Genomic DNA, 13677 nt, shown 5'->3' on the forward strand with positions numbered 1-13677 from the left:
TTTGTCATTGAAGAGCTCTTTATATATTTTGGAATGTAAATTCTCGATGTGTTAAACATTTTTCTCACGATCTGGCTTGCTTTGATTTAAAAATTTTTTTTATTTCAATAATTTTGAGTTATAGGTGGTTTTGGTTACATTAATGAGTTCTTTTGTGGTGATTTCTGAGTTTTTAGGTGTACCTGAGCAGTGTACACTGTGCCCAATATGTAGTCTTATCCCTCATTCTTTTTTTTTTTTTTTTTTTTTGAGATAGGGTCTCTGTCACCCGGGCTGGAGTATAGTGGTATGATTTTGGCTCACTGCAGCTTGACTTCTGGGGCTCAGGCGATCCTCCTACCGCAGCCTCCAGCCTCCTGAGTAGCTGATATCACAGATGCATGCCACCATACTCAGCTACTTTTTTGTATTTTTTGTAGAGACAGGGTTTCGCCATGTTGCCCAAGCTGGTCTCGAACTCCTGAGGTCAAAGGATCTGCTTGCTTCAGCCTCCTAAAGTGCTGGGATTATGGGCATGAGCTACTGGGACTGGCCAATTTTTTTTTTTTTTCAAGTTGACTTTTTTTTTTTTTTTTAAAGCTACACGGTCTCGATCTGTTGCCCAGACTGCAGTGCAGTGGCATGTTCATAGCTCACTGCAGCTTCAAATTCCTGGGCTCAAGTGATCCTCTTGCTTCAGCTTCCCCAAGAAGCTAGGACTATAGGCCTGTGCCAGCACACCCAGCTAATTTTTTTTCTTTTTCTTTTTTTTTTTATTTCATAGAGACAGGATCTTGCTATGTTGCCTGGGCTTTTCTCCAACTCTAAGCCTCAAGTGATCCTCTTGCCTCAGCTTCCCAAAGTGCTGGGATTACAGGCATGAGCCACTGCACCTCGCTTAGGCTATTTTTTTAAAGAGCAGTTTAAGGTTATAGGAAAATGGAGAGGAGGGTACAGAGATTTCCCATATGTGCATGTCTTCCTCCATTATCAGCAACTCCCTGCCAGAGTGGTGGATTTGTTATAGTTGATGAATTTATGCTGACACATCATCACCTAGAGTTCATAGCTTACATTAGGGTTAATTCATAGAATGTTGTATATTCTGTGAGTTTAGGCAAATTTACAATGATCTACCATTAAAATATCATACAGAGTAGTTTCACTACCCTAAAAAATCTATGCCCCACCTATTCATCCCCTCCTTCCCCGTAATCTCAGGCAACCATTGATCATTTTATTGTCCCCATAGTTTTGCTTTTTTTTTTGACATGTCATATAGTTGGAACCATAAAGTATGTAGCCTTTTCAGACTAGCTTCTTTTGCTTAGTAATATGCATTTAAGTTTCCTCCCTGTCTTTTTATGACTTGATAGCGTATTTCTTTACAGTGCTGAATGAGATTCCATGTGCCACAATTTATCCACTCACCTATTGAAGGACATCTTGGTTGCTTCCATGCTTTAGCAATTATGAATAAAGCTGCCATAAGCACCTGTGTATAGGTTTTTGTGTGTAGGATGTAAGTTTTCAACTTTGGGTAAAACACCAAGGAGCATGATTGCTGGTTAGAATATGTTTAGTTTTTTAAGAAATTGCCCAACTGTCTTCCAAAATGGCTTTTGCATTCCTACCAGCAATGAATGAGAATTCCTGTTGCTTCACATACTTTCCAGTGTTTGGTGTTGTCAGTGTTCTAGATTTTGGCCATTCCAACAGGTGTGTATTAGTATCATCATTTCAGTTTGCATTTCCCTGATGACGTGTGATGTGGATCATCTTTTCATATACTTGTTTGTCATCTGTCCATCTGTCTTGATTTTTTTTTTTTTAATTTGTGTTGGCAAATGAGGGTCAGGAATTGGATTTGGGATCTAGCTTTAAGGAATTAGTTAGGGTTTGGTATTTTGAATGTAAAACGGCCTAGGAATGTATATAAATCACAACTGTACCATATACCTTTTATTATTTTGTGATTATAAAAGCATAGCAATCACTTTGGAAAATTTGGGATACTTTCAAAGCAGGAAAAAGTACTACTAGTAATTGTGGGGATTAACATTTTGTTATATTTTCTAAATTCTTCTTTTTCTTCTCCTATATATTCTCCATATATCTCTGTATCCTTCTTTTACATGTAATTATGCAGAACTTTTAATAATATTTTAGAGGCTACTTTTATGATTATTAAAAGTAATTTTTTAAAAATAATGATGAGGTCTTGCTATGTTGGCCGGATTGGTCTTGAACTCTTGGCCTCAAGCAGTCCTCTCCACTGGGCCTCCCAAAGTGCTAGGATTACAGGCGTGAGCCAACACGCCTGGCTAAAAGTAATGTTTATGTGAGCATCAGGTGCCACAAGCTTTGTCTACATTTCTCATACTTCTTTGTTTAGAGTACTGGAAGTAGATTCTGGATCGAAGACTACTGCTGGATGTTACGAATTATTTTCCTAATCTATCCTTTTTATATTACATTAAGGAGTTTAACATTTTGTAGAGCTTAAAAAGTTTTTTGGTGGCATCATTTTTGTTTTATTTAAAAATTACAACAAAATTATTTGTCATTTTACCACTTAAAAGTCAGTGATTTTGGGTGATGATAATGTGTCAGTGTAGTTTCACCAGTTGTAACAAACTCACCACTCTGATAGGGGATGTTTATGATGGGGGGAGGAGATGCATATGTAGAAGGAATAGATAGGCTATCTCTGTACTTGGTCTCAATTTTGGTGTGAACCTAAAACTGCTCTAAGAAATCAAAAAGGGAAAAAAATGGTACAGTAATTAAACCATGCCCTCAATTCAGTTGCATATTAAATTTGAGTGCAGGCTGGGCATGATGGCTTATGCCTGTAATCCCAGCAGTTTAAGTGGCTGAGGCATGGCTGGGCACAGTAGCTCATGCCTGTAATCCTAGCACTTTGGGAGGCTGAGGCAGGCAGATCACCTGAGGTCAGGAATTCGAGACCAGCCTGACCAACGTGGTGAAATGCCATCTCTACTAAAAATATAAAAAAATTAGCTGGGCGTGGTGGCAGGCGCCTGTAGACCCAGCTACTCAGGAAGCTGAGGCACGAGAATCTCTTGAACCTGGGAGGCGGAGCTTGCAGTGAGCCAAGATGGTGCCACTGCACTGTAGCCTGGGCTACAGAGCGAGATTCTGTCTCAAAAAAAAAAAAAAAAGAAAGAAAAAAGAAAAAGGCTGAGGTGGGAGGATCACTTGAACTCAGGAGTTTGAGACCAGCCTGAGCAGCATGAGGAAATCTTGTCTCTACAAAAACTACACAAATTAGCCAGGTGTGGTGGCATGCGCATGTGGTCCTAGCTACTTGGGAGGTTGAGGCAAGAGGATTGCTTGAGTCTGCCTGAGGGTGAGGCTGCAGTGAGCCATGTACTCCATCCTGGGGAAAGAGCGAGACCCTGTCTCAAAAAACGAAAAAAAAAAAATTTATGCACCTTTCTCCGTTTTTTTCCCCAAGTATGAGCAGATACATCTATATAAACATTGTTCTCACACATTAAAACAATCATGTTATTTTGCTTGCATTTTTTTTTTCAATTATTGTAGCATGGGCATCCTTTTAGGTAATTGTATATGGACATCTACTGCATTATTTTCAATGGCTATGTAATATACTGTTGTTGGATGTCCTTTATTTAGTCATTCATCTGTTAATTCAGCAAAGAACTATTGAGTACCTGTCATGTGCAAGTTACTGGGGATATATTCAACAAACAGAACAAACTGAAATCTCTCACCTCAAGGAGCTTGCATCAAGTTGGAGTTTATATTCCCCTATTGATGGTCATTATTTATTTCTCCTCTTTTTTTTTTTTTTAGGTAGAATATTGTAGTGAATATCCTTGTTATATTTTTCATCTTTGTTAAAACCCCAATTGGTATCTACATCTTTTGTATCTTGATGTACTTGTGCTGTATTTCTAGCCATGGACTTGTTGAGTCTAAAGGATATATGCATTTAAAGTTTTTAATTTTTGCCACAATACCATTTTCTTTATTTTACATTTCCTGAATGCTTGGAAGGGTTGTGCACGTTTTCATGTGTTTGCTGGTCATTTGTACTACTGTGAATTGCCTACTCTGGTTCTTAGTCCATTTTTCTTAGTAGATTGTCTTTTCTTGTCTGTTTTTCTTAGTAGATTGTCTTTTCTAATTTGTAAAGCTCCTATGTATCCTAAACTTTAATTCCTTGTTTGTTTATACACCAGAGATGTTTTCTTTCTGTTACTTAACTATAGGGTGGTGGTTTTTTTTTTAGAAGGAGTTTTACACTTGTTGCCCAGGCTGAAGTGCAGTGGCACGATCTCGACTCACTGCAACCTCTGCCTCGTGGGTTCAAGCAATTCTCCTGCCTCAGCCTCCAGAGTAGCTGGGATTACAGGCATGTGCCACCATGCCTGGCTAATTTTGTATTTTTAGTAGAGACGAGGTTTCTCCACGTTGGCCAGGCTGGTCTTGAACTCCTGACCTCAAGTCACACGCCTGCCTCGGCCTCCCAATGTGCTAGGATTACAGGCATGAGCCACGGTGCCTGGCCCCAGATGTCTCTCTTAATGAGTGGCTGAGCTGTATGTTTTTTTTACTCTCAGAGACATGGCTTTCCCTTATCCAGAGGCAGTGTCACTGGTAGGGAGGATCTCGATTATTTAGTCTTTGTAACTGCCCTGCTGTTTTAGATAGGTAGGGCAGGGCTGGGCACAGTGACTCACATCTGTAATCCCAGCACTTTGGGAAACTGAGGTGGGCAGATCGCGTGAGCCCAGGAAGTTGGAGATCAGCCTGGGTGACATGGTGAAACTCTGTCTCTACTAAAACCACAAAAATTAGCTGGGCATAGTGTCATGCACCTGTAGTCCCAGCTACTTGGAAAGCTGAGGCAGGAGGATCACTTCACCCTGGGAGGCAGAGGTTGCCTTGAGCTCTGGTCATGCCACTGCACTCCAGCCTCAGCCTGGGTGACAGACTGAAACCCTGTTCCAAAAAAGGAAGAAACTGAGGAGGGAGGTGGGGTAACATAGCTAGTAATTAGGACAGCTGGGATTTGAATCTTTTTTTCCTCCTTCCAGATCCATTGGAACAAGCATTATTTTTGATAATACTCCCATGACCATCCACTAACTTCTTATACTTCCTAAAAGTGATGTTGTATACTAGCTTTGTATGGTTCTTTCATTGACACCATTAAACCTAAGTTTAAAAATGAAGCATGTCATTCCCTCTCCCACCATTTAAAAATTTTTTTTTATTTGATGCTGAGTTTCTCTCTGTTGCCCAGGCTGGAGTGCAGTCGCACGATCTTGGCTCACTGCAACCTCTGCCTCCCGGGTTCAAGCGATTTCTGGCTAATTTTTGTATTTTCAGTAGAGATGGGCTTTCATCATGTTGGCCAGGCTGGTCTCGAACTCCAGACCTCAAGTGATCCACCTGCCTCGGCCTCCCAAAGTGCTAGGATTACAGGCGTGAGCCACTGTGGCTGACTTCTCCCACCCCTCCCTTTTTGTTCCCAGTTCTCATTGGTCTACAGTGTGAGTCCCAAGCTGGAATTTGGAAGAAGCTTGGGGCTATTGGACATAATGATAATAAAATAGTTAATTGATTAACTATAATTAACATGAATAATGAAATCCACCATTATATAGCGCTATCTGTCTGGAACAGTCGTGTGGTTGGTTCCTTTTAGCTCTTGGATTAAATGTTGTATCTTAGGAGAGCCCTTCCCAGACCTGAAATTACTTTCTTCTCCCTCTTCTTCCCCCTTATCTATATCACCTTATTTATTTATTTTTGAGATAGGGTCTTGCTCTGTCTCCCAGGCTGGAGTGCAGTGGTGCCATTTCAGCTCACCGCACCCTCAACCTCCTGGGCTCAAGCGATCCTTTCACCTCAGCCTCCAGAATAGCTGGGACCACAGGCACGTGCTACCATGCCCAGCTAATTTTTGTATTTTTTGCAGAGACAGGTTTTGCCGTGTGCCCAGGCTGGTCTTGAAATCCTGAGCTCATGCAGTTAACCCACCTTGGCCACCCACAGTGTTGAGATTACAGGCATGAGCCACTGCGCCTAGCCCTAATGTGCTTTTTAAAGAGTAAGCATAGCTGGGTAGAGTGGCGTGTACCTGTAGTCCTGAGTACTTGGGAGACTGAGGCAGGAAGATTGCTTGAGCCCAGGAGTTGGAAGCCAGCCTGGGCAACATAGCAAGACTGTCAAAAAAGAAAAAGAAGAAATTTAAAAAAGTACTATTAGTACTAACAGTTTACATGGTATAGTACTATGTATGTATGTATGTATGTATGTATGTATGTATGTATGTATGTATGTATTTTGAGACGGAGTCTTGCTCTGTCACCAGGCTGGAGTGCAGTGATGTGATCTTAGCTCACTGCAACCTCTGCCTCCTGGGTTCAAGCGATTCTCCTGCCTCAGCCTCCCGAGTAGCTGGGACTACAGGTGTGCACCACCACACCCAGCTAATTTTTGTATTTTTAGTAGAGATGGAGTTTCGCCATGTTGGTCAGGATGGTCTTGATCTCTTGACCTTGTGATCCCCCCGCCTCGGCCTCCCAAAGTGCTAGGATTACAGGTGTGAGCCACTGCACTCGGTTGTACTTTGTTTTGTTTGATGTAACATAAAATATTTGAGTACTTTTCTTTCTTTCTTTTTTTTTTTTAAAGAGCTAGGATGTTATACTATTGGCCCAGGCTAGAGTGCAGTGCAGTGGTGCAATCACAGCTCACTCAACCTCGAACTCCTGGGCTCAAGTGATCCTCTCACCTCAACCTCCCAAGTAGTTGGGAGTAAAGGTTCATGTCATCACACCTGGCTAATTCTTTTCTTTCTTTTTTGAGACTGAGTTTCATTGTTGTTGCCCAGACTGGAGTGCAGTGGCATGATCTTGGCTCACTGCAACCTCTGCCTCCTGGGTTCAAGTGATTCTCTTGCCTCAGCCTCACAAGTAGCTGGGATTACAGGTACATGCTACCGTGCCCGGCCAATATTTTGTATTTTTAGTAGAGACGGGGTTTCACCATGTTGGCCAGGCTGGTCTCCAACTCCTGACCTCAGGTGATCCACCCACCTTGGCCTCCCAAAGTGCTGGGATTACAGGTGTGAGCCACCGTGCCAGGCCAATTATTTTACTTTCTTTTTGTAGAGATGGGGTCTTTCTGTGTTGCCCAGGCTGGTCTTGAACTCCTGTCCTCAAGTGTTCCTCCAGCCTCACAAAGGATTGGGATTACAGTCATGAGCCACCATACCTGGTGGCTTTTAAGTCTTTTGTTAAAAACAACTCTGGCAGAGCAAGAAGACATACAGGCCACTATTTTGTTTGCTTTTGTTTTATAGTCAGTATTTCCTTTCAAGTTCTATTTTTGGCACAGAAGCTGCATTGGTCCTGGAAGAAGACCAGGCAACAAGCTGCTGTGGCTCCAGTTGAGTTTACTTTCCTTGACAAGTGAGGAATGCATTGGGTACTTGAATAAAACCAGGGAGGAATGATGGCACTTCCGTTGTGCCAGACCGTGGCAAGAAGCTAGGCAGCTACTGTAAGTCTGTACTTTTTTTCTGTTATCTTTGGAATAGTTCACATGGTAGAAGAAAAAAAAATACAGGCATACCTCAGACCATTGTGATAAAATGAATATTGTGATAAAATGAGTCACTAATTTTTTGGTTTCCCAGTAGATAAAAAGTTATGTTTACACTCCATTCTGTTAAGTGTGCAGTAGCATTATGTCTAAAGAAACAATGTATATACCTTAATTAAAAAAATACTTTATTGTGGCCTGGTGGGTAGCTCCATCCCAGCACTTGGGGAAGCTAAGGCAGGTGGATCCCTTTAGCTCCATGAGACCAGCGTGGGCAACATGGCAAGATTCCATCTCTACCAAAACGATGTAAGAATTAACCAGGCGTGGTGGTGGTGTGTGCCGGTAATCCCAGCCATTTGGGAGGCTGAGGTGGGAGGATCACTTGAACCTGGGAGGCAGAAGCTGCAGTGAGCCAATATTGTGCCACCACACTCCAGCTTCGGTGACAGAGCCAGACTCTGTCTCAAAAAAAAAAAAATTATTGCTAAAAAATGCTGATTGATCATCTTAACATTTAGTAAGCTGTAAATCTTGCTGGGTGAAGGTCTTGCCTCAGTATTGATGGATGCTGACTGATCAGGGTGGTGGTTAATGAAGGCTGGGGTGGCTGGGACAAATTAAAACAGTTTTTTTTTTTTTTGAGGCAGAGTTTTGCTCTGTTGCCCAGGCTGGAGTGCAGGGTGTGATCACAGCTAACTATAACCTCTGCCTTCCGGGTTCAAGCAGTTCTTCTGCCACAGCCTCTCATGCTGAGGCAGGAGGATCACTTGAGCCCAGGAGTTCAAGACCAGGATCACTTGAGCCCACGAGTTTGAGACCAAGCTGGGCAACATAGCAAGACCCCATCTCTATAAAATATTACAAAAATTAGCTGGGCATGGTGGCATGCGCCTGTAGTCCCAGCTACTCGGGAGGCTGAGGTGGGAGGACTGCTTGGGCCTGGGAGGCAGATGTTGCAGTGAGCCAAGATTGTGCCTCTGCACTCCAGCCTGGGCAACAGAGCCAGACCCTATCTCCCCACCCCATACCGTCCCCCAATAAAAAATAAATAATTTTGTTTTTTTAAAGGCTGGATGCGGTGGCTCATGCCTGTAATCCCAGCACTTGGGGAGGCTGAGGTGGGTGAATCACCTGAGGTCAGGAATTTGAGACCAGCCTGGCTAACATGGTGAAACCCTGCCTGTCTCTATTAAAAATACAAAAATGAGCCAGACATGGTGGAGGCGCCTGTAATCCCAGCTACTTGGGAGGCTGAGGCACAAGAATTGCTTGAACTCGGGAGGCGGAGGTTGTAGCGAGCTGAGATTGTGCCACTGCACTCCAGCCTGGGTGACGGAGAGACCCTGTCTCAACAACAGCAACAACAAAAGTCAATCCTCTCAAAACCCTGCTGCTCATGGCTGGGCGCAGTGGCTCACGCCTGTAATCTCAGCACTTTGGGAGGCCGAGGAGGGCGGATCACAAGGTCAGGAGATCAAGACCATCCTGGCTAACACGGTGAAACCCCGTCTCTACTAAAAATACAAAAAATTAGCTGGACGTGGCGGCGGGTGCCTGTAGTCCCAGCTACTCGGGAGGCTGAGGCAGGAGAATGGCACGAACCCGGGAGGCAGAGGTTGCAGTGAGCTGAGATCACGCCACTGCGCTCCAGCCTGGTTGACAGAGTGAGACTCCGTCTCAAAAAAAACAACAAAAAAAAAACCCTGCGGCTCCTTTAAGAACTATGTTTATGTGATATTCTAAGTCTTTTTTTATGATTTCGACAATGTTCACAGAATCTTCACTGGGGTAGATGCCATCTCATGAAACCACTTTATTTGGTCATCTATAAGAAGCAACTCCTTAAGGCTGGGTGTGGTGGCTCACACCTGTAATCCCAGCAGGCGGATTGCTTGAGCCCAGGACTTTGAGACTAGCCTGGGCAACATGGTGAAACCCCATCTCTACAAAAAATACAAAAATTAGCCAGGTGTGGTGGCACATGCCTGTAGTCCCAGCTCCTCAGGAAGCTGAGGCAGGAGGATTGCTTGAGCGTGGGTGGTTGAGGCCTCAGTGAGCTGTGGTACGCCACTGCATTTCAGCCTAGGTAACAGAGTAAGACCCTGTCTCCAAAAAAGCAGGGAGCAACTCCTCAAACTCCTCATCTGTTGAAGTTTCATCGTGAGGTTACAGTAATTCAGTCACATCTTCAGATTCCATGTCTTTTCCTATTTCCACCACACTTCCAGTTACTTCCTCCACTGAAATCCTGAACCCTTCAAAGTCATCCATTAGAGTTGGAATCAACGTCTTTCAGACTCCTATTTGTGTTGATATTTTGACCTCCTCCCGTGAATCAGAAATGTTCTTAATGGCATCTAGAATGGTAAATCTTTACCAGAAAGATTCACTTTGCCCATATCCATCACAGAAATCATTATCTATGGCAGCTGTAACTTTATGAAATATGTCTTAAATAGTAATACTTGAAAGTTAAAATTGCTCCATAATCCATGGGATGCAGAACAGATGTTGTGTTAATGGGCGTGAAAACAACATTAATCTCTTTGTACCTTGCTATCAGAGCTCTTGGGTGACCACGTGCACCGTTAATGAGCAGTAATATATATACACACACACACACACACACACACACACACAAGTATATACATATATGTGTGTGTGTGTGTGTGTATATACATTTTTTTTTTCCCATACAGAGTCTTGCTCTGTCATCCAGGTTGGAGTGCGGTGGCATGATCTCAGCTCACTGCAACCTCTGCCTCCCAGGTTCAAGCAATTCTCCTACCTCAGTCTCCCAAGTAGCTGGGATTACAGGTGTGTGCCACCACGCCTGGCTAATTTTTGTATTTTTAGTAGAGACAGGGTTTCACCATGTTGGCTAGGCAGGTCTAGAACTCCTGACCTCAGGTGATCCACTCACTTCAGCCTCCCAAAGTACGGGGATTACAGGTATGAGCCACCGTGCCCGGCTAATTTTCTTTTCTTTCTTTTTTTTTTTTTTTGAGACAGATTCTCGCTCTGTTGCCCAGGCTGGAGTGCAGTTGCGTGATCTTGGCTCACTGCAACCTTCACCTCCTGTGTTCAAGCGATTCTTGTGCTTCAGCCTCCAGAGTAGCTGGGACTACTGGCACACACCACCACACCCGGCTAATTTTTGTGTTTTTATTAGAGATGAGGTTTCACTATGTTGCCCAGGCTGGTCTCGAACTCCTGGCCTCAAGCAATCCACCTGCCAGCAGTAATATTTTGAATTTTTTTTTGGTGAGCAGTAGGTCTCAACAGTGGACCTAAAATATTCAGTAAATCATGCTGTAAACAGATGTCATTCAGGCTTTATTGTTCCATTTATAATGCACAGGCAGAATAGATTCAGTGTAATTCTTTTTTTCTTTTTTTTTGAGACAGGGTCTGCCTCTGTCACCCAGGCTGCAGTCTGCAGGCTGCAGTGCTGTGGTGCAATCTCAGCTTAATGCAACCTCTGCCTCCAGGCTCAAGCAATCCCTTCCACCTCAGCCTCCTGAGTAGCTGGGACTACAGGCACATGCCACCATGCTCGACTAATTTTTTTGTTCTTTATGGAGACAGGGTTTCACCATGTTGCCCAGGCTGGTCTCTAATTCCTGGACTCAAGTGATCTGCCTGCCTTGGCCTCCCAAAGTGTTGGGATTGCAGGTGTGAGCCACTACACCTGGCCCTTTCATTTTTATGTTATGTAGATGGGTTCTTTCCTTAAACCTCATGAAGCAACCTCTTCTAACTTTTCTTCAGCTTCCTCAACTGTCTCAGCCCTCATAGAATTGAAGAGAGTTATGGTCTTGCTTTGGCTTATGGAATATTGTGGTTGGTTTGATCTTTCCAGTCCATGAAAACATTCTTCTTACCAGCAATAAGGCTGTTTCACTTTCTTGTTATTCCTGTGTTTATTGGAGTAGCACTTTTAATTTCCTTTTAATAACTTTCTCTGAGGCTGAGGTAGGGGGATCGCTTGAACAGCCAGCAGTTCAAGGCTGCAGTGAGATGTGATTGCACCACTGCACCCCAGTCTGGGCCATATGAACGAGACCCAGTATCTAGTAAAAGAAAAAAAAACAGTACTTGTCTCTTCGCATTCACAACTTGGCTGTTTGGTGCAAGAGTCCTAGCTTTCAGCCTCAGCTTTTTGACATGCCTTCCTCACTAAGCTTAATCATTTCTAGCCCCCCCCACCTGCCTTTTTTTTTTATGAGACAGTCTCACTCTGTTGCCCAGGCTGGAGTGCAGTGGAACAATCTCAGCTCACTGCGACTTCCACCTCCCGGGTTCAAGTGATTCTCCTGCCTTAGCCCACCAAGTAGCTGGGATTGTAGGTGTGCGCCACCAGACCCAGCAAATTTTTATATTTTTGGTAGAGATGGGGTTTCACCATGTTTGTCAGGCTGCTCTTGGGCTCCTGACTTCAAGTCATCTGCCCGGCTCAGCCTCCCAAAGTGCTGGAATTACAGGGGTGCGCCACCATGCCTGGCCCATTTCTAGCTTTTGACTTAAAGTGAGAGATGTGCATTTCTTCCTTTTACTTACTTGAACACTTAGAGACCACTATAGGGTTATTATTTGGACTTATTTCAATATTGCTGTGTCTCAGGGAATAAGGAGGCCTGAAGAGAAGGGAGAGAGATGGGGAATAGCTATTGGAGCAGTGAGAATATACACAGCATTTACTGATTAAGTTTACCATCTTATATGAGCACAGTGCATGGTGCCCCAAAACAATTAACAATAGTAACATTGAAGAACACTGATCGCAGGCTGGGCATGGTGGTTCACACCTGTAATCCTAGCACTTTAGGAGGCTGAGGTGGGTAGATCACCTGAGATCAGGAATTCAAGACCAGCCTGACCAACATGGTGAAACCCTGTCTCTACTACAAAAATTAGCCAGGTCTGCTGGCAGGCGCCTATAACCCCAGCTACTCAGTAGGCTGAGGCAGGAGAATTGCTTGAACCCGGGAGGCGGAGGTTGCAGTGAGCCGAGAGCTGAGATCCTGCCACTGCATTCCAGCCTGGGTGACAGGGCAAGACTATTGTCTCCAAAAAACAAACAAACAAACAAAAAAACACTGATTACACATCACCATAAGAGATAAAATAATAATGAAAAAGCTTCTTGAGATAATAGGAGCATCACCAAAATGTAAGGGAGGCATACAAAGTGAGCAAATGCTGTTGGAAAATTGGCACCAGTAGACTTACCTGAAGCAGGGCTGCCACAAACCTCAATTTGTAAAAAGCGCAATATCTGTAAAGCACAATAAAATGAGGTATGCCTGTAGGGCCAGGAAAAATTGAGGAAAAATTCATTCCTCTTCACTGCCCCACAGGTGTCTTGGGGAGAGGGAGTATGAAAAACTAATTTAATTTTACCCTTTGTCTTTCAGGTTTGTCCTATTTCAAAGGCACGTGATGGGATCTTTTTGAAGTGCCTTTCTTAGCCACACCTAGGGATTAGGTTCTCTGAATTCAGGGACTTCTCACAGTATGTTTTTACTTGGTTGCCTTCCTTTTCCTAAAATGATTTAAGAAGTCCTTTGCACATACAGAATGCTCCGTGGCCATTAAATAACAACCCTTTTCCTGCCAGTCATTGACCTCCAAAAATTCAAGGGGTCAGTTTGTTTGAACTTGAGATCTAACACCATTTGTTCAGTTTTTTTGTTGAAATTACTGAATCAAACTTCAGAAAAAGGGTGGGGAGCACAACAGAGTGACAAAATTATGCTATTAAGTTGTGTAGAAAATAGAAAACACTTTTGAACATATAGACAAGATAAAAAGGCCACGTTTTGCGTTCGTCATACAACCGCTAAAAATACAGCAGTGCCTTGCTGCTGCTCTGTCTCTGTGGAATATCATGGTTAAAGTATAACCCCCATTTGGTGCATAGGAAAAAGGCACACAAAATTAATTTAATTTTTCTAAGATTACATATATAAAATTACAAGGAACGTGTAGATTTCCTGACTATACCTGGTATTTTATCAATGAATTGAAATGTGTAAAGAACCTCAGAGTACAACAGAGTAATTACTATGGTTTCCTAGCATGCAT

The 13677-nt window shown here is 43.3% G+C and overlaps 1 protein-coding gene across 4 annotated transcripts in view, besides 1 other annotated feature; it reads left to right on the top strand.

Annotated features, from left to right (window-relative positions):
• Positions 1–13677, top strand: part of NCOA3 (nuclear receptor coactivator 3) — a 154986-nt gene that overhangs the window by 58854 nt on the left and 82455 nt on the right. The window lies entirely within an intron of this gene.
• Positions 626–808: a silencer, noted in NCBI's record as "fragment chr20:46190110-46190292 (GRCh37/hg19 assembly coordinates)". NCBI's record gives its function as "represses an EF-1alpha promoter that drives an FKBP-Casp9 reporter gene in an ReSE screen in K562 erythroleukemia cells {active_cell/tissue: K562}" and the evidence as "EXISTENCE:reporter gene assay evidence [ECO:0000049][PMID:32094911]".

This window comes from Homo sapiens, chromosome 20 (assembly GCF_000001405.40).
Source record: "Homo sapiens chromosome 20, GRCh38.p14 Primary Assembly".
Taxonomy (NCBI): Eukaryota; Metazoa; Chordata; class Mammalia; order Primates; family Hominidae; genus Homo; species Homo sapiens.